This window comes from Homo sapiens, chromosome 10 (assembly GCF_000001405.40).
Source record: "Homo sapiens chromosome 10, GRCh38.p14 Primary Assembly".
In the NCBI taxonomy this organism is placed as follows: Eukaryota; Metazoa; Chordata; class Mammalia; order Primates; family Hominidae; genus Homo; species Homo sapiens.
Window position 1 is genome coordinate 30,665,154 of NC_000010.11, and position 21,270 is coordinate 30,686,423.

At 44.2% G+C, this 21,270-nt stretch overlaps 3 annotated features.

Annotated features, from left to right (window-relative positions):
* Positions 16,769 to 17,968: an enhancer, noted in NCBI's record as "P300/CBP strongly-dependent group 1 enhancer chr10:30970851-30972050 (GRCh37/hg19 assembly coordinates)". NCBI's record gives its function as "activates an origin of replication core promoter dependent on BRD2, BRD4, P300/CBP, MED14 and CDK7 cofactors, with strong dependence on P300/CBP, by STARR-seq in HCT116 cells {active_cell/tissue: HCT116}" and the evidence as "EXISTENCE:reporter gene assay evidence [ECO:0000049][PMID:35650434]".
* Positions 17,279 to 17,418: an enhancer, noted in NCBI's record as "active region_3220". NCBI's record gives its function as "activates an Ori minimal core promoter by ATAC-STARR-seq in GM12878 lymphoblastoid cells {active_cell/tissue: GM12878}" and the evidence as "EXISTENCE:reporter gene assay evidence [ECO:0000049][PMID:35858748]".
* Positions 18,829 to 19,328: an enhancer, noted in NCBI's record as "H3K27ac hESC enhancer chr10:30972911-30973410 (GRCh37/hg19 assembly coordinates)". NCBI's record gives its function as "activates a minimal SCP1, AML or CMV promoter by ChIP-STARR-seq in naive H9 embryonic stem cells {active_cell/tissue: H9 hESC(naive)}" and the evidence as "EXISTENCE:reporter gene assay evidence [ECO:0000049][PMID:30033119]".

Consider the following 21,270-nt stretch of genomic DNA (forward strand, 5'->3'; position numbering starts at 1 on the left):
AAGACGGTGAAACCAGGTCTCTACTAAAAATACAAAAATTAGCTGGGCATGGTGGCAGGCACCTGTAATCCCAGCTACTTGGGAGGCTGAGGCAGCGAATTGCGTGAACCTGGGAGTCAGAGGTTGCAGTGAGCTAAGATTGTGCCATTGCACTCCAGCCTGGGTGACAGAGTGAGATTCTATCTTAAAAAAAAAAAAAGGGCAATATCAAAAAAAAAAAAAGAAAAGAAAATTAATAGTTCACGGTACCTGGAAATGAGGTGGTCCACGCTGTGCTCGCATCGGCTCTCCCCCAGAGTTTTCAAAGGCAAGTCAGTGGCCTCGTGTCCAGGTAGGACAGGTATAGATGGGGCATGGCCTCGTGTCCAGGTAGGACAGGTATAGATGGGGCATGGCCTTGTGTCCAGGTAGGATGGGTGCAGATGGGGAACGGCTGTGAAGTGGAATGATTCTGTCAATGTTTAGGACTCTCTGTGAAAGACAAAAAACCCAATTTTCTTATTTCTTTTTATTTTAATTTATTTATTTTGAGACAGAGTCTCTCTCTGTCACCCAGGCCGGAGTGCAGTGGAGTAATCTCGGCTCACTGCAACCTCCGCCTCCCGGGTTCAAGTGATTCTCCTGCCTCAACCACCCAAGTAGCTGGGATTACAGGCATGCACCACCACATCCAGCTAATTTTTGTATTTTTAGTAGAGACGGGGTTTCACCATGTTGGCTAGGCTGGTCTGGAACTCCTGACCTCAGGTGATCCTCAGCCTCAGCCTCCCATAGTGCTGTAATTACAGGCATGAGCCACTACACCCAGCCTAAACCACAGATTTTTACAATTTATCTGTGATAGCTTTTTCCTAAATGAGACTTTCATCTCTCCCTTTTGTGAAAATGAAATAATGAAGCTTAAACTATTTAAAATAAGAATGTTATTCCTACATTTGGGCTTTACTTTTCTTTCTTGAGAAAGAAATATATAAAATCATAGGACTTTCAAACTTTATTCTACACACCTCTGACTGCCTCATTTTACTAAAGGAGGGATTCGGCTCCAGTAGCCTCCAGGGCCACGTAGTGAATAGAACTGACCCAGGTGCCACGTCTCCATCTCTCCCCTGGTCCATGGCGAGACCGTGGTGTGCTCAGATTAGTGTTACAGCAGCCAACCCCGTGTGCTCTAAACAGGAGAATATGGTAAAAGGACAGAAATTCCAGCTAGACAGCAAGTTAGAAAAACACACCCTCTTTCTTCATGAATTTTCTCAGTTCACATGCTCTTAACAGGGCTTATTTAAAATTACACATCCACATTCACATTTCAGAGTCTAAGAAATAGAGCCTGGAATTTACAGATTTCCTTTATCGTTTTTTATAAATGGCTGCGCCCGCTAAGGAGGGCAGGTCTGTCTTCTTCAGCCTTGTTGCGTCAGTCTCTCCCCTGTCCGGGGCCTGACTATATTGAATGCTCCATGCTCAGTGCTACCCAGCATCACAGACTGCCTTCCACATTTTGCACGATATCTCATTTGATGTTGAAGACAGCCTTCAGAAGAAAGCAATATTATCCCCACTTGGAGACAAAAAGTGGAGAAATTAAGAAATTATAGGAAACCCTCCACACCCTCCTTTTTTAGAAAATGTTTGCTGCTCAAGAAAATATACCAAAAAGTTATTTTTCTGTTTTCATCTTTTCTGACATTGTGAATGTCAAATTTGAACCATAACCAGCATAAAACATAGGATGCAACCGACTTTCCCACTGGATTAGTAAAATCGTTGTTTTATAACTGTCTAAATTATTTGTGTTTAAATTATCCCTGTTTGGGAACTTCTTTGAGAAAGATTGTGAATTAAATAATTCTTACGTTATTTAGGGATAAAACCTTTACTATTGCTTAAAGAGTACATTAGGCCTTTAGAAATCTTATTTCCACAATGTCAGAAACAGTGGCATCTGAGCTTTCTTATTTGGCGAAGAAGAACATTGGAAAAGAATACAAGAGCCATTGTTTCACTTTGGGAAGTTGGTGGCGTGTTAGGACTTCGTGGAACTCCCTGAACTGTTGAAGAATCCACCTCACACCTCTGTGGCGTTCTGCCCTAGAGGGACCGGCTGGAGGCTCCTGTGTTTCCTGCCTGCCGGCCCCCACCCCAACCATCCACCCTTCCATATCCCACCCAGCCAGAGGCTATCTCCATGTCTCCACAAACGCCAGGTTCTTACCTTGTAGCTGGGATATTTCAGCCACCTAGAGGGCCCCAGATTTATGTGGGAATAAGAATAGAGTTGCAATTCCCCTTTGCTCTCTTTCTTTTCTTTTCTTTTTTCTCTTCTTTTTCTAGGCAGAGTCTTGTTCTGTTACCCAGACTGGAGTGCAGTGGTGTGATCATAGCTCGCTGCAGCCTCAGCCTCCTGGGACTCAAATGATCCTCCCGCTTCAGCCTCCCAAGTAGCTGGGGACTACCTGCACACACCACCATGCTCAGCTGATTTATTATTTCTATTTTTTTGTAAAGACAGAGTTTTGCTCTGTGGCCCAGGCTGGTCTCCACCTCCTAGCCTCAAGCGATCCTCCCACCTCAGCCTCCCAAGGTGCTGGGATTACAGGTGTGAGCCACCACACCTGGCCCTGCTTTTCAGATGTTTGATTTATCTCCCACTTAAAAGACACTTTAGTTTGTTCACGTCTCCAGTTTGTGAACCAGCCAAGACCAAGATCTAATATAAGTACTTATGTGTGCTGTTCAGCCCTATCTGAGATCTATGGGGTGCCTGTAATTCTCTAAAATGAAGGGAAAATTCTGAAAAAGAGAGAGAAAACACACCTTATTTAATATTAGGGGCACATGGTTGTCATGTCTCCTGTTTGACCCAGCCCTGACTGCTCTGAGCCTGAAGTCCTTGTTCTCACCAAGCAGGGCTCTCAGGCCAGCATTCCCTGCTGGAACAGTGTGGGCTATGGAAGAGGAGGCACCGTTTCCCCGGGTGTCCTGGCAGGCACCTGTCACGGTGGCCCAGGGCCAGGCGTTGGGTGAGCAGGCCAGTGTCATGCCTCTCCCTGGGTTCACACAGCCCAGGCCAACCCGCTGCCCAGGCTCCCAGCATCACAGTCCTGCAAACAGCACTTCGGCTTGGCAGTTGTTAGAAGCACTGACAGTTGTTTGAATTGCACCGGCAGGAATTTATGTCCTGCGTAGGCCCAGACGTCGGCTCCTCGACCCTCTCAGAGCCTGGTGGTCTGCGGTGAGCCGGAGGGCTGTGAGCTCACAGGAGGAAGGAACACATTTGGGAAGATCTCCCTCCGTCCTCAGCGTGGTGGACACCAATGAGGAAATCTAAAGGGACAGGAAGAACACACTCAAGTTTTAGTGCATGTTATTTTCGAGTTATTTATCATGTGCTCCGTAGGCTGGAGCCAAGGGCTGGCTCCAAGTGCCAGGTGGGCTCCATGGAAGCACAGTTTCTTCCAGATTATTCTGGTTACTCTGTAGTCTTCAGAAGTCCCCAATGGTAACCCTGCCAGCACATGTAGAAGCAAAATTTCAGGGTTTTGGAATGGAGGAATTCTTTGGAGGCCATCCCATGGTGGGAAAAACCTTTTAAGAAAGCCAGAATCCTATGCCTTTCCTAAAACGGTGTGGCAAAAATGTGTCCAGTCAGCTAATGTTCTACCGCAGTGAAACAAGCTACGCACAGGCAGGCGAGGGCTGCAGTCATGTCTCTCTGCCCACTAACATCCAGTGTGACCTCAGCCAATGGAATTCTTGACCCGGATGTACCCACATTCCTTGTCCGTCACAATGGGAATAACAATTCCCAGTGTCTTAGGGGTCGCCGTGCAGATCAGCAGAGTATAAGATGGACGAGGAGGTGATCTCAGATGCCACAGCTTGTGTTTTTCTAAGTCAGTTTTAGATGCCACAAAGCAACCACCAGGGAAACCGTCCGATGACATAGGTGCTGGTGTCCTTGCCCCAGACTTTTGGGAGCTTCTTTTTGAGAAGGTCTTCAAAGACCGGAGCTCATGACTTTTAATGAACTCAACTCAGGAAGATGAATTTGATCTTTTAAAAATTCATCATTTAGATCCAATCTGATTAACAAGATGGATGGTCAAGAGGAGTAGCTGCTGGCCTGGGTCGAAGGTGAAGTGAGAGAAGCTGGTTCTGAGGCCAGTTTGCAGGGAGAATATCAGTGAGATGAGTGTCTGGCCCCACAAGATGATGAACTAGAATGACTTCTCATTTGGGTATTAAAGTGCTGGCATGTTTACTTTTTGAAAGTCTCATTTATTGATTTGAGCTTTGAAAGCTCAAATACAGCATGCAAATACCAATTTCTTTTAATGATTTTATTTTGTGAGATTATTTTATTAGAATAAAACTGACTCATTCAAAATAATAGGAGAAAAGATGAATCATAGTCATTACATAGTATGAAATGGTGTGGATTAAAACTCTTGAAGGAATTTAGACTTCGTGTCCAAGCCCATGAACTAGCTCTTGTAGCATGCAGGGTGTTGTTAAACATTCGAGAATTACAGGAGTTAGGACTAAATGAGACCTTGACCCAAAGGGATCTGCATGAGATTGATAAGGCAGCCTTATCCCAGTTCTAGAGATTGAGCACTTGAGATCTTATCTGCTGCCACTTAGCAGAAAGAGGAAAACAGAAATGAAGGGGGGAGAAGGAAGAGATTGAGGAAGGGGACAGATCCAGAGTTTGAAGCTCCTTCCTCCTTTGGGGGTCTCCTTTCTTCACGGCTTTACTTTCCATTATTTGACTGAGTGAATAGACAAGTATAGGTGTAATTGTGTACACATATGTAGATGTCACTGGATTCTTAAATACAACAAAATTTGTTTTCTTATTAACTTAACAAAACATTTATCATAGGATATATGTCATCCCATCTCCAAAACAAATATTTAAGGGGAATTGGGAAGCTTGCAAGAAGGGCCCTTAGAGATCATCTGGTCCAGTTCCTGATGTGACAGATACGAGAGGGAGAACCGAGATACCCAAAGGGAGTTAGTGGACAAATTGGGACCAGAGCTGATGTGCTGCTTAAAAATACACTGTTGTCCAGACGTGGTGTCTCATGCCTGTAATCCCAACACTTTGGGAGGCTGAGGCAGGGGGATCGCTAGAAGCCAGGAGTTCAAAGCCAGCCTAGGCAACAGAGCAAGACCCTGTCTCTACCAAATAAAAGTTCTAAAAATTAGCCAGGCATAGTGATGCACACCTGTCATCCTAGCTACTCTGGAGGCTGAGGTGGGAGAGTCACTTGAGCCCAGGAATTCGAGGCTGCAGTGAGCCATGATTATGCTGCTGCACTCCAGCCTTGGTGAAAAAGTAAGACCCTGTCTCTAAAACAAATTTATAAAAATAAAAAATACAACATTTATGGATTATGCATTAGTGATGTTGAGAAGACCTGGCCCATCAGGTCCAGCACAGAGGGAAAGGGATCTAGTTATTTGGTTTTTTCCCTACTCTTTAAATTGTTTGAACAGCAGCTCAGATGAGTTTAATGATCATCACCTTTTTTGTTTTACCTTTTATCTTTCCCATGTTTGTTCGTTCAATGCAAATGCCTAAGATTTCTTCATTCATGACAATACAGTTAGCTGAAACAGCCTCATGTTTGTGAAAAATAACCATTCAAGATTCCAATATTCAAGCAGATTCCTAGTGATGCCATTGTTGAACTAAAGTGGGTTAGGTAACAACCTCAGTTAATTAGATACCTTTTTTGTATATGTCTTTCCTGTGAGGAAAGTTGAAGTGATAATTTTTTTAAAACGGGTTGGTAGAAAATAGTTTCTGTTTAAAGAAGACAGATTAGAAAGACCAAATTCATTTATAGGAAAAGAACAGGGCTTAGAATATCTGAAGAGAAACAGTCATAAACATCAAATTTTACCTCTAATTGAAAGGGATGATATTAAGAGACTGTTAGTACCTCATGGCTTTATGTTTTTAAGCCACGTCTGCATTCTCTTCTGCAAGTAGGAGCTACGATACAGCTTTAGTCCTTTCATGTTATTTCACCAACTGACCAGAAGGCGTCGCTAGAAGGCATTTTTTTTTTCCTCTGAGAACGGTTCTCTTGCTCTCAGCCCAAGGGCAAGGAAAAACATTCCTTGGCTGGGATAATGGTGCATCTTTTATCTAGCAAGTCAGATTTCAGCTCTGTGTTTCAATCAACTGTAAAATCTTCGGGGCCGTCTTAGAAAAGGGACTCTATTATTTTTCCAGACATGCTATCTTCAGAATAAATAAAATTCAAAATGTTACAATGAGGTGGTCGTGGTCGTGTCTTGGCCCAAGCCGCCTCACTTACCTAGATTATGGTTCTATCACAAGGAAGAGTTTGGTGCTGAACTCTTTGTGGCTGGCATGTTTTCCTCCTAGATTGGCATTGTTGAAGAAAAGCGGGGAGGAAGATTGGAGAAACAGACTCAGCAGGAGGCAGGAGGGCAGCAAGGCACCAGCCAGCAGCCTGCAGGGCAGTCCCTCGTCAGGAAGGTAACATTCCCTGTGTTAGGAAAAGCCTTCAGACTAACATCACTCTTGGAAGTGCATCACTCTTGGAAGTGCTTGGAAGACAAGCATGTGCCACCTAATTCCTACTCTGTGAAGCATTTGTGCATTTTTGCCCTTAGGGTAAACACTGAGAACCTGTCACAGAGCAGCTAAAATTGGGCAGAAGGCTGTGCCTGGAGATGTTTCAGAATTGGGATCAGCAACACACACACACTGTGTCAGCAAGCAAGTGCCTGAATTTTAAAGTGTGGACTTCTTCTTCAGTTTAAAAACCTTCTAAATGAAGTCTGGCTTTAGTGTGTTATTAAAGCCTTTATAATGAAAAAAATTGAATTCACCACTAATATCTTTAAGTTCCATGTAAAATACGGACTTGTGTTTCCTATGCAGAGATTTTAAACCTAAGTATAAAAAATAAGCACATAATTGTGATTTACGAGTATTTAGTTCATCATTTAAGCGTGTTTCATGAGTAGCTATGCCTTTTATTGAGAATGTACAGTAATGTATGTTATAAGTTGAAACAAAATTAGGTAATGCATGGTGATCAATACTACCAAGCATTTATATGCGAAAATATTGATGAATTGTTAAATCACAGATGTGATGATGACCAGCTTTTGACCAGATAGTGCACACTTTCAAAACCGATGGTGACTTACTTGCTGACTGGCCCTACAATTGCAAATGCACCTTCTGGCTGGAGGCGAAATGATGCACCGGTGATGCACTCCCAGGTCACTTTCTAGGATCAGAAGTCTTCAAGTAGAAAAGAAAAAGAATGCTTTCAACCAGATGATCCCCAGGCCCCTTCTAGCTCTACAATAAGTTAAGCATCTGTGAAAGGGAGAGATGATGAGTGTGACTTTCATGCATTAAGAAACGTACATAAAAATGAGATGTGCACATAGAAGTGTGAGTCAGGAGTTCTGACACTATTTCCTCTGATACTTCTGTGTCTTCTTAGATTACACTGGAATGGCAATTTGAATTCTCTTCTTTGAGACATACATGGTGTTAAAGATAACATAACTAAAGACATTTAACCCTCAGCCATTTGTAAAGTTCTCAAATATAACTAGATATTTAGAAAGTATACCCATGCGCATATTTTTCACACACCGTGTGAAATTCAGATTTCAAAAATGAGATCCTGAAGTGAAAGAAAATCCATCTGTCAAATAATGTATCCCTGCTACCCACAAACTTTATTTAAAAGAATCTTGAAATCATTGCTTCAAAAACGACTTTAACACATTCCTCATTAGCAAACCTGCCAACTACTATGTCCTGGCACCAAGCAGCGCCTGGCCCCTTCTCCATCACTTTGGAAGGTGCAGAGACTCCCTGGCCCATCAGGAACTGGGAGTCCCAGAGAGCCAGTGGAAATTTAAATGAAGCCAAAAAGCACGAAGCAAAAGAGGTTCCTGGTGAATAGTGAAATGGGTGCACTGCCCCCTTAGAAGAATGGAGGATCACCTTAGGTGTGGAAGCCAGAAGGCTTTGAGTGGAGGATGAGATCCGAACCACCTGAATGCTGGCTAAGGTTTTTAGAAGGCAAGAGAGGCCAGTTGACTGCAGTTGCCCTTGGGGTTGATAATCCAGTGACCTGAAGCCCCGGGACTTGCAAGCAGGCTAGGGCTGGAATGGGAAATGCTGCCTCTGGGCGCGTGGAGGCTGCTGTTTCTGCAGACGGTGAACTCTCCCACTCTTCTCAGTGGCCTGCTTCCCTTTGGCTGGAGACAATAAGCTCTTTGAAGCTAAAATAAGCGGATCTATTTTAGGCCTTTGTAGCCCACACTGGGCAATCTCAGGTTCTGTTGAGGTCAGGTGTTTCTCAGACGGCCTCTGACGACCCCTCGGTTCGTTCCTTCCCGAGGGCTGGCACTGTTTTCAGTCACCCGCCGGCTGTGCTCAGATGTGGTGGGTGAGGCGCCTTAAACCTGGTCTGTCTTGAGGGATTCCCCCAGTAGCTGAGGAGGCTTGACATGCCCACTGCTTGCGGGGTGTCTGAATGCTGCCTTGGAGAAGGACAGACAGTCATGACACGTGGGGCCTGAACAGGGGCACTTGCTGCACGGAGTAGCTCTAGCCTTGCTGACGGAGAGGTACCCAGGAGAGCAGGTGCCGGAACCTTCCATCTTTAGCACCAAAGGCAGAAAGGAGCCGGCGTTATGGTCAGCTCATCACGCCCTTCACGGTTCCTACGTTCCTTTTGTGTGCTGAGAGGCTGCTGCCGTGAGTGTGCAGTCTGTGGAAATGTGGAAGGGGCAGGAAAGAGAGGGGACTCTAGAAGTTCCTTCCATTGCTCCTGTGAAAACACGTGCAACATGGAAGTCAGCACCGTCCTGTAAAAATAGAATGTGTGCCACACAGGTCATTTTGAAATTTTCTTGGAGTCACATTTAAAAATATATTAAAGGGTGCCTTGAAAAATCTATAACTGTTTTGTCTCTGTCAAGGCATTGGTCCCAAAAGAAAACATATTTGAGGTGCTCTAGCCAGCATCTCATTTTTGTTTTCTGTTTTTTGTTTTTTTTTTTGAGGCGGAATCTCGCTCTGTCTCCCAGGCTGGAGTGCAGTGGCGCGGCCTTGGCTCACTGCAGCCTCCGCCTCCCTGGTTCAAGCAATTCTCCTGCCTCAGCCTGCTGAGTACCTGGGACTACAGGGGCCCGCCACCATGCTCGGCTATTTTTTTTTTATTTTTAGTAGAGACGGGGTTTCACCGTGCTGACCAGGATGGTCTCAATATCCTGACCTCATGACCCACCTGCCTCGACCTCCCAAGGTGCTGGGATTACAGGCATGAGCCACTGTGCCTGGCCCATTTTGGGTCTTTTATATTAAGATTTATATTGGGGCTGGGTGTAGTGGCTCATGCCTGTAATCCCAGTACTGTGGGGAGCCAAGGTGGGAGGACTGCTTGAGCCCAGGAGTTTGAGACTAGCTTGGTCAACATGGTGAAACCCGGTCTGTACCAAAAAATACAAAAATTTGCCAGGTGTGGTGGTGCATGCCTATAATCCCAGCTACTCGGGAGGCTGAAGTGGGAGGATTGCTTGAGGTCGAGGCTGCAGTGAGCCATGATCACATCAGTGTACTCCAGCCTGGGCAACAAAGCAAGAAGGAAAGAAAGAAAGAAAGGGGAAGGGAGGGAAGGGAAGGGAAGGCCAGAGTAACTCATTTTAACAGAGAGAGAAAAATGAAATGAAGCAAAGTCTCAAAGAAGTGGTTTGGCAGGATTCTCTGTTACAACTAACTTTCGGTTTTGTATTTATTTTCACCAAATAGTTATTTTCAATTCCAACCCCATTTCGGCTTAGTTGGCATTAAGACATACACGGTGACCCCGCAACTTTTGTGAAGATAGTTTTCCAGCGAATCAGACCTTTTCGAAGAAGAAAAAACTCTTCATAGACTTGGCCATTAAAACCCTGTGTCTGTTTCTGAGTTCCAGAGGGAACTGGATATCCCACTGTGCTTCAGCAGCTGTGAGGTCAGTGTCCATGACAGCCCCAGAACAAGTCCCTGAAATTTTAAGAAAGGTGAATCTGCACATTTATATTCTCAGTGTCTGCTGCCATTGAAATTCCAGATCATAATTCAGGAGAATGAAGTCACTTTAAAGTGCGAGGATGGGAGGGAGAGAAAGGCTGAGGGAATGCTCTCTAAACTCCAGATGATCATTCTGCGGTCAGGGAATGAGTTGGCCTGAGGTTCACATCACCCTATTGTGTGAGCACGTGCATGCTGCTGTTTGAACCCAGGCACAAAATACTTGAAGGTGATTGCGATGCCCTGACCAGGCTCTTCTCTTCCAGTACTCTGCCATGTTCCCTGTTTGTTTTAACCTGCAGGAAGAAGGAGGAGTTGCGGATGATAGTGCCATTTCTAATCTGCTTTGGGTAAGCCTGACTCTAACACAGGTGTCCTCTCGATGGTGGCCAGAATTACACTTCGCGTGGGTAATCCTGATCCTGGGTGGTTCCTTCGTGCACCCTCCCTGGTGCTTTTCTTATCTCCAGACCAGACACAGCCTTTGTCCGGAGTGGAGAGCTGAGCCCGTGCCCTTAAACTATTTTTTAATCATGTAATGAAGATACTTTAAAGAAGATGATATTTTCTGTTTAATGTTAAAACTGTCAATGAAAGTCATGGTTCCTCTCTCTGTAACTGACAATCTTCTATAAATTAACTCATTTAATTACTGCACAAAGCTGACTCAGGTATATTTACCGCGCTTGTGTGGATTTACTTTAGCATTAGCATTCAAGGGAGGACTCTCTTGAAAAGAGAACTGAAATTGCAATGAGTAAATTAACATTCTGTTAGAAAAATCATTGTTTTGTCTCTCCCTCCCCCACGTCCCTGCCCGGCCCCGCTCTGATAAATCTTCTCTTCATCTTAAATCCTCTTGCTTTGCTCTGTAGGAACCTGTATATGCTTCTACTTACTATCGTGCTATTCCTGCTGCCCATAAATACCTGTCTTTTGTGTCGACTAATCGGGTGAGGAAAAGCCGCTCATCTTAAGCCTCACTGCAATTTCTGAGCCGCAGGGGAGGAGCTTCTGTTTAATTTGGGGCAATAATTTCTTTGCTACATTTCACTGTGAAAGAGGACTGTGTGTGTTTCAGTACGATTGCGTGTGTCCATGAGATTGTGTATCTATAAGAGAATGTCTGTGTGTACCATTGACAGTGTGTGTTTGTGAAAGTGTATCTATGAGTGTATGTGTCTGTATGAGTGTGTGTGTCTATGAAAGTGTGTGTATCTATAAGTGTGTTTCTGAGTGTGTCTGTGAGAGTATATCTGTATGAGTGTGTCTGTGTCTATGAGAGTGTGTCCATGAGACTGTGTGTGTATCTATGAGTGTGTGTGCTGAGTGTGCATCTATGAGAGCGTGTCTGTGTGTGTGTGTCTATGAGAGTGTGTGTGTGTCTTTAAGTGTGTGCCTATGTGTGTTTAATTGGTTCTTCATATATTTAGGGTCAGTCACACACACACTGATCCTTGGCTCAGATTTTCAGGTGGACTTGATGGCATTAATTCACCTCATAGTCATGAAACTGGTTTAAGAGGAGAGTGTCCCCTTTCAGCCTCCAAGCCTGGATCCTGAGTCAGGAGCCCAGGAGATGCGTCCGTGTTCTTTGCTCCGGCTCAGTGAGGATGTTGTCCTGCTCAGTTCATAGAGGAGGAGGATATGGTGGAGGCAGTTTGGGGTGTGGAGGGACAGGGAGGAAGACTCAGAGAGGGGAGGCCCCTCCAGTGACCCTATTAAAGAACCAGGGGGAGCTGGTTCCAATGGCCCTATTAAAGCAAGAGACCATGAACCCCCTCACCCTTCCCTCCATCCTCGCTGTACTCGCTCTGGAAGGGAGACCTTGGACTCCCACCCTGGAAGGGAGACCTTGCCTGGACTGAGCCACTCCGTAGGTGAATAACATGAAAAATATTAACAGTTGTTTTTTTATTTCCCCGTGGAATGTCCTTGGTGTCAAAACAGCTCCGCTTTTCCATCAATGCCAGGTTCCCATCTCCTCTCTGTAGGGCTTTGCCCCATCACTTCCCTCTAGGGCCTCTGTCCCCTCCCTCATAGGGCCTCTGTCCCCTCCCTCTAGGGCCTCTGTCCCCTCCCTCATAGGGCCTCCGTCTCCTCCCTCTATGGCTTCTGTCCCCTCCCTCATAGGGCCTCTGTCCCCTCCCTCTAGGGCCTCTGTCCCCTCCCACTGAGGCCTCTGTCCCCTCCCTCTAGGGCCTCTGTCCACTCCTACTAGGGCCTCTGTCCCCTCCCTCTAGGGCCTCTGTCCCCTCCCACTGAGGCCTCTGTCCCCTCCCTCTAGGGCCTCTGTCCCCTCCCACTGAGGCCTCTGTCCCCTCCCTCTAGGGCCTCTGTCCACTCCTACTAGGGCCTCTGTCCCCTCCCTCGTAGGGTCTCTGTCCCCTCCCTCTTAGGCCCTCTGTCCCCTCCCTCTTAGGCCCTCTGTCCCCTCCCTCGTAGGGCCTCTGTCCCCTCCCACTAAGACCTCTGTCCCCTCCCTCTAGGGCCTCTGTCCCCTCCCACTAGGGCCTCTGTCCCCTCCCACTAGGGCCTCTGTCCCCTCCCTCTAGGGCCTTGCCTCCCCAGCAGGACTGGGGCTTTCTTAGCTGTCAGGTGGCCTCTGACAGTGCCGCGATGGGCCTGCTCCAGCAGCACCAGCAGTTATTGAATGAGTGGCTCAGGGTTTCACATGCGAAGCTGACAGGGAAGGTGTCTGGGGTCCTCCCGTAGTCATCTCGCCTCTTCACAGATGGAAACTCCCCACTTCTTCTCCCTGGGGCGGCCTTTCCCTCACTCTCCTGGTTCCTTCCCCCGAAGCTGGAAATGCTGGTTTTAAGAGCCCAGGCCCCACGTACCCAGCCAGTGTCCACCCCAAGAAAGGGGCTGAAATGTGGAGCAAACTTCCTATTCCATCACGAACGGGGGAAATGAGCTTGTGTTTCTTTGAAATAAGCCAATATTAAACTTTAAAGGAAAAGATATATTACTGAAGTCTTTAAGTGTATACAGTCGGCCCTTCATCTCTTCCAGTTCCGCATCCAAGGATTCAACCAACTAGGGATACTTGGGAATAAAACCAATAAGAAAGAACAATACAACAGTTAAAAAATTAAAAACCAATACAGCAGAACAACTATTTACATAACATTACCTTGTATTAGGTATTATAAGTCATCACGAAATGATTTAAAGTACACAGCGGGGATGTGCACAGGCTGTGTGCAAATCCTACCCCATTTTATTTCAGGGACTTGAGCATCTGTGGATTTTGGTATCTGTAGGAGGTCCTTGAACCAGTCCCCCATAGAAGCTGAGGGACAACTAGATATATTTTTCAGAAGAATTTATTTTTTTGGAGCAGTTGTAGGTTCACAGCAGAAAGTACAGAGTTCCTACATCATCCCTGCCCTCCCACACACAGCCACCCCAATTATCAACATCCCCCTCCAGAGTGGCACATTTGCTACCATTGATGAACTTACATTGACACATCACTATCCCCAAAGTTAATAGATTATGTTAAAATTTACTCTTGGTGTGGTCCATTCTCTCGGTTTTGACAAATACATAATGACATATGTCCACCATTACACTATCATACAGAATCGTTTCCCTGCCCTGAAGATCCTCTGTGTGCTGTCTCTTCGTCACTCTCACTGCCCAGTCCTTGGCAACCTGTAAGTTTTTACTGTCTCATAGTTTTGCCTTTTCCAGAATGTCATCTAGTTGTAATCATACGCTATGTAGCCTTTTCAGATTTGCTTCTTTCATTTAGCAATATACATTTAAGATTCTTCTGGCTGGGCGTGGTGGCTCATGCCTGTAATCCCACTTTGAGAGGCTAAGGCAGGCGGATCACGAGGTCAGGAGTTCTAGAAAAGCCTGGCCAAGATGGTGAAACCCCGTCTCTACTAAAAATACAAAAATTAGCCAGGCATTGTGGCGGATGCCTGTAATCCCAGCTACTCGGGAGGCTGAGGCAGGAGAATCGCTTGAACCAGGGAGGCAGATGTTGCAGTGAGCAGAGATCGTGCCACTGCACTCCAGCCTGGGTGACAGAGCAAGACTCCATCTGAAAGAAAAAGAAGAAAGAAAGAAAGCAAGAAAGAAAGCATGAAAGAAAGCAAGAAAGAAAAGAAAGAAAGAAAGAAAGAAAGAGAGAGAGAGAGAGAAGGAAGGAAGGAAGGAAAGAAAGAAAGAAGGAAGGAAGGAAAGAAAAAGATTCTTCTATGTCTTTTTATGGTTTGAAAGCTTTTTTCTTTTTAGTGCCAAATAATATTCCATTACCTGGGCATGCCACAGTTTACTTATCTATTCATCTACTGGAGGACAGTTTGGTTGCTTCCACATCTTGGCAGTTATAAAAAAGTGCTATAAACATCCATGTGCAGGCTTTTGTTTGGACATAAGTTTTCAACTCATTTGAGTATCAAGGAGCATGATTGCTTTATCACATGGTAAGAGTATGTTTAGTTCTATGAGAAACCTCCAAACTGTCTTCCAAAGTGGCTGCACCATTTTGCATCTCCACCAGCAATGAATGAGACTTCCTGTTGCTTCATATCCTTGCCAGCATTTGATGTTGTCAGTGCTTGGGTTTTTGCCATCCTAATTGATGTGTAATAGTGTCACTTTGTTTTAATTTGCAAATCCCATCATTAGGGATTTGCAAATTAGATATTCAGCATATTTCCATATGCTTATTTTCTATCTGTATATCTTCTTTGGTGAGGTATCTATTTAGATTTTTTTCCCATTTGTTAATCTGGTTGTTTGTTTTCCTATGGTTGAGTTTTAAGAGTTATTTGCATATTTTGGGTAACAGTCCTTTATCAGACATGTCTTTTGCAAATATTTTCTCCCATTCGTAGTTTGTCTTCTCATTCTTTTAACAGTGTCTTTTACAGAAGTTTTTAATTTCAGTGAAGTCCAGCTTGTTAGTTATTTCTTTCAAGGATATTGCCTTTGCTGTTACATCTAAAAACTAATCATCAAACCCAAAATAATCTAAATATTCTCCTACGTTATCTTCTAGGAGTGTTATAGTTTTGAATTTTACAGTTAGGTCTTTGTGATCCATTTTGAGTTAATTTTTGTGAATGGTGGAAGATTTGTACCTGGATCTTTTTTTTTTTTTTCACATGTGAGTGTCTAGTTATTCCAGCACCCATTTGTTGAAAGCAGTATCTTTTCTTCATTCTATTGCTTTTGCTCCTTGTCAAAGATCAGTTGACTATATTTATATGAATCTACTATTGAGCTCTCTATTTCATTGATCTATTTGTTTATTCTTTTACTAGTACCACACAATCTTGATTACTGAGGCTTTATAGTAAGTCTTGAAGTTGAGTGGTGTTGGTCCTCCAACTTTTTTCTTCCCCTTCAGTGTTGTGTTTGCTATTCTGGGTCTTTTGACTCTCCATGTAAACTTTATGATCAGTTTGTCAATATGTTCAAAATATTTTGCAGGGACTTTGGAACTGCATTGAATTTATAGATCGAGTTGGGAAAAACTGACATCTTGACAAAATTGAGTCTTCTTATCCATGAACATGGAATATCTCTCCATATATTGTTAAGTTTAAGAGAAAATAACATTTGCCAAAGACATTTATGTTTCATCACTTCAAAATTAAAATTTCAAAAAATTCTATATTTTTACTTCTGACCAGTTTTTCCCAGCTGAATGTAAATATTTTATATACTAAGTATGTAGCACTAGCTCATCTGTGTTCTCAGAGGTCAAGTCACTCCTTTTCTTTCCTCCAGCAGTACTGGTGTCTTCATACTTAATAATACAGAGGTTCAGAGAAGAAAAGAGAGCATTTAAACAGCACACAGGCTCTGTCTAAATGGACTGTTTGTCTCTGTGTCAGGCTTCAGCCTGAATTCCTTTCTCTCATGCTTCAGGGCTGTACCAGAAGAAGATTTCACTTTATTCCCTTCTTTTCATCTTAGGAGCTGGTAGATGGTGACAGGACTGGAAAACAATTACTTCAAGGTCTGAGCCTAGACCCGTGATCTTCATCTCTTGTTCAGGCTATTTGAGGCTGCATGCAGTGACAAGGGACTGAAATTTCTCTTAAGGAAGGGGCAAAGCTAAATTTCTTTCACAGTGTGTAGAAATCGAAATGATGCTAGCGTTTTTGAAAACTGAAAAGTACAACTTTATTACTTTGACCTTTTTTCTATTGCTTAATACGTGCTCTTATAATTTCTTCCTTTATAGTTTAGTTTAACTAGATGTGAATAAGATAAAAATTTAAAAGCCAGATCACAGTATTTTCTTCCCATGAAGCTCTCCGGTTGTGGAGGAGTTTTACCCTTAAATCTACCCTAATCCTTATAATACGACTTAGTTGTGCTCTCTCTTGTTGGATCACATCCCTGTGTGAGAAACATTAAGTGAGATTTGCTATGATTTCTCAGTCGATGTATAAAGACAGAAGCAAACCCATCAGCAACATCATGCAACCTAAAAGCATTCATGTTAATTCATTCTTTGCATAGTTTCCAGCTGTGACTTACCAAGTCTCTGACCATCTTTAAAAGAAGACCGTCCTTTCTACCTGTTTCACTACCTTCTATACACACACACACACACACACACATGTGCATACACATACACAAATACTCATTTTCTCCTCCACCCTCTCCCTCTGCCTCTCCCCACCACATTCATGGGATCTATCTTTGAAAGAATAAAGGACAGATGGGGTAGAGGTTTCTGTTCAGATTCTTCTCCAATTCTCTCTTACGATTCCAGTCAACACTCAACTTGTATCGGCTAAACCTGGGAAATGCTACAGTACTTATTAATGTACATATGTCCTTCTCTAAACAAGGAAAGAAAAAATTAAAAGGAAAAAACAAGACAATAATGAAGAAGCTGAGAAAAAGCAAACGGACAAAGATATCCATCTTCTTTGTTTTCACACTTTGAGTTCAAAATAGAAGAGCAACTTGTGATAGATTTTTGTTAAATTCTTTGGAGTATAAACAGCCTATATATTATTTACCTCCTTATAGAGCCATGTAAAGTCAGATAGCAGGAATTGGGGAGCCATAAGCCAACCCTACTAAGTAGCAATGTTAAGTAGAAATTTTTAGAGAAGCAAAAACGTTTATGTTTAATATTATCATTTAGCAGAGATTACAAATTATTTGTTCTTGACCTAGATCTGGCAAAGAAATGGAAGCTTTAAATTCTAAGAAGGTCATATTGTCCCAGGGTTCATATCCATCATGTGCATGAAGGGCTCTGGGGGAATCCCAGTGCTTTGAAAAACAAAATTGTTGACTCAAGGCCACCATCTTTCTGAGTCACCATCCACACCCACTACCCCACCCCGGACTGTCGAGATGCCTGAGATAATTCACCGCAGAGTTGACTAAGTGAATAGTGAGTCACCATAGTGATGGCTGGACCTTTGGAGACGCCAACTTTCTTGGCACTTGATGTGTTTCTTGGAAATATTTGAACCCAAGTGCCATCTTGGTTTGATTAAAATTCACTCCTGAAACTTCATTTTCAAAGAAAACATATTCTCTTTGTTGAATTTTGATGAGGTCTTTTGGGCAAGTGAACCTCATCGTTTATTTAAAAAGGATACGTGATTCAGAGAGTTACTTGGAATTAGGAGCTTCTCGCCAATCATAAGCAGAAAAGTTAGGGTTTTAAAAAAATCAGTAAATCTTAATTTTGATAAAATGTTAAACTTATAGAAAAATTTCCATTATAGGCAGAGCACTTTCGTACCCTTTACCAGAACCACTCATTGTTGACATTGGCCCCCCTCCTTCACTCTCGCTCCCTTCCTCCCTCCACTCCTCACCCCACTTTCTTGCCTTCTCTTCCCCCATCTCATTTTTCCCACCCCAACCATGTGCCAGTAGTTTGGAAACATTGTGCTCCTCTACCTTTCAATATTTGACTTTATTTCCTAAAGTCAAAGATATTTCCTCGCATAACCACAATATGGTGGCCAAGAGGAGGAAGTTAATGTTGATACAATATTTATCTGATCCACGTCCATCTTAAAATTGTCAGTTTCCTCCAATAATGCCCTTTGTAGCCCCCACCCCATCTAGGATTCAAGCCAGGATCATGCATTGAGTTTGGTTGTCATGTCTCTTTAGGAAAAGGTTTTTAACCTAATTTAAGTTGGCAGGGACCTCGAAATCACTTCTGGCTATGAGGGCTTTATAGAAGAATCCTGTGAAAGAAAGATTCATCATTTAGATGATGGAGAAGTCCACGTTCATAGCTTAAACCAAATCTTCCCAGTGCAGACCTGGTTTTGTGCTGCTGGAAAGGAAAGGAAGGCGCCTTTCCTCTGTCAACCCCCATTATTCCAGGGCATTAAGAAAATGAACTGCCCCCATCTCCACTCTCTGCCTGTCCCTCCTGAATTAGGAACTTCTCTCTCGTGGGTTGGTTAAGGGAAGTGGTTTGCCGCAGTGAGGAGGAGAGGCATCAGGGAAGAGAATCTCTACGATGGGCTTCACTCGGGGCTCTCCGAGTCCCCCCCTGTGTCAGCACGAGGCCTTAGGATCACATTGATCCACGGTGACTTCTTAGCCAAGGAAAACGCCCTAGGAAGGCAGAAAAGCTGGGGGACCTGCCAGAAGCAGTTGAGTAGTGCTCAGAAGTAGTTTGAAAGCGGATGCACTAGCAGCAATCTGGGGGACCTGCTAGAAGAAGGTGTGGAGTGCTCAGATGTAGTTTGAAAGCAGATGCACTAGCAGCAATGGCCTTCCTCAGATCCAAAAGACAGGGGAAAGCGAGAGGCCAAAGTTAGGAGGCTATCGCCGGCCCCCAGACCCCCTTCCAGAGGAGACCTGCAGGTGACGGCCAGGGACATGCCTTCTGCTCTGGAGGGGTCACCTTTGCACTCTTCCTTCCTTGGCATTAGCTCCACACCTCCTGTGCTTCTCCCCCGCTCCCCACCCAGCCCAGTGCCTCGCCATAGACAGGGGTCTTGTGGTGCAGGGAGGGATGGCTTGAAGACAGAGGAAAAGCAAACTCTGCCGGCCAGCGTTTGAGGATCTCCTGCCCTGGTATTGCCCGCGACCGCCAACTACACTCTTCTCCCCAATACACATCACTCAGTGGCGTGAGTCCTGTCCTCTGCCTCCATCGCTGCTCCTCTCCCTCCCTCCTCAGTCCCATCTCCTCATCCTAGGCCTGTCCTGAGCCCCTCCTCCTTTCCTGATACCCTTTGAGTCCCCTGTAGCTTCTTCCCCTTCCCCTCCTGCCACATCCCCAACCACAAGCTTAATGAGCATCACCAATGGCTTGGAAATGGAAGAAGCAGATCTCTCCAGAAATTTTCCAATTAGAAACTGCTGAGAGCATTTTACGTAGAAATGTTACCGTGCATGTAGGTTTTTTCTACAGCATAGTTCACCCTCAACATCAGATGTCTCACAGTTTAAAGCCACTTCTGTGGGCTCTCCTGGTTGTCTACCTGCCCGCAGAACATCAGTGGCTGCAGGAAAAACCAAGCAGAGTGCCAGAAAACCTCCTGCCCCTTATTCCTAACCAGCCTTCCCTGTCTCTAACTGGGCAAGTTCCTCGTGTGCTCACATGGATAAAGTTTTCTAGATCAATCATGTTCTTTGTGAGTATATAGGGATAAAAATCTCCCAGTTAACTGAGTTTAACTAGATGGGTTAAGACAGAGAAACTTTAAAACCCTGTAGAGTCCAGGGCATGAAAACAATCTATTTTTAATTGTTTGTGTTTACAAAGAATTGTTCTGGTGCTCCAGTGCCCCAAACCGGTAAGTCACAGGACAGAGGCGTTCATCTAAAGTTACAGCATCGCCAATGGTGATCTCCCACCCAACCTGCACGTAAGGAAGCTGAGCCCATTTCAGATAGAACATTTTTGAACATCTTTGGACAATATACTTACTCCTCTTTGTCTACCTGCTTTTTTCACGCATGAAATGCTGCAGGCTGAGATCCACACCGCTGTCATTTCTCTCTCCTGTTTTCTCTTCTGTACATTTATGAACAGCGGGTCACAGAAAGTCGAGAGAGCCAAATGATGATTGAGGAGAGGAAGCAGCTCATCACTGTGAGAGAGGAGGCCTGGAAGACGAGAGGCAGAGGAGCGGCCAACGACTCGACCCAGTTCACTGTGGCTGGCAGGATGGTGAAGAAAGGTCAGTTGTGTGTGTGTGCCTGTGTATGTGTGTGGTGTGTGCACAATGCACACATGTGAGCACACTCACCCATGGAGGGCATGGTGGTACACGATAGCTCAATTTAAAAGAAGAAACCATGGTCTCTTTAATTTTTTTTTTTTTTTTAAGATACAAGGTCTTGCCCTGTTGCCTAGGCTGGAGTGCAGTGGCTCAGTCATGGCTCACTGCAGCCCCAAACTCATGGGCTGAAGCAATCTTCCCACCTCAGCTTCTCTAGTTGCTGGGACTACAGGTGTGCAACACCATGCCTGGCTTTTTAAAACTTTTATGTAGAAATGGGGTGTCACTGTGTTTCCCAGGCTGGTCTCAAACTCCTGGGCTTAAGTGATCCTTCCGCCTCAGTCTCCCAAGTAGCTAGGACTACAGGCGTGAGACACCCTGTCCAGCTTTCTTTAAAAAGTTTTAAACTTACTGACATTCTGTACATGTTTTTTGGGTAGGTTCTGTGAGATAGTCCTACTGAATATCTTTTTGTCATAAATAGTGTCATCTTCAAATGCATAATTTAATTTGTCACTATTTCAAAACTTACCCCTTTAGAATTGAATGCAATTGTAGGTTTCAAAAGCAATTCAGGTCTGCTAGCAAATCTTGGTCCTTTCCCATAATTACTTTTAAATCGTTTCCATTTTCTTGTGACCTGGCAACCACTTACCCCAAGTCAGCCTTTCACAATAGAGAAGTTTGTCTCCTCTTCCTTTTATATTAATTCCTGGGTCCTTCTCCATCAAACCTGATTTCTCTGACTGACCAAAGTCAATCCTGGATATGCTTTAATAGATGTCTAAAATATGTCCTCAGTTCCAAGGCAGTGGGATGTCTCTGGGGCAGTCCATTCTTTGCTGCTGAGCTCTTGGAACTGATTTGTTGTCTGTATTCAAACATTTATGAAATTGACTTACATATGAAATACTTAGTAAAGTCATCTGAGAGCTTTAAGTCTTCATAGGAGTGTTTGGGGCTTTGTTTCAT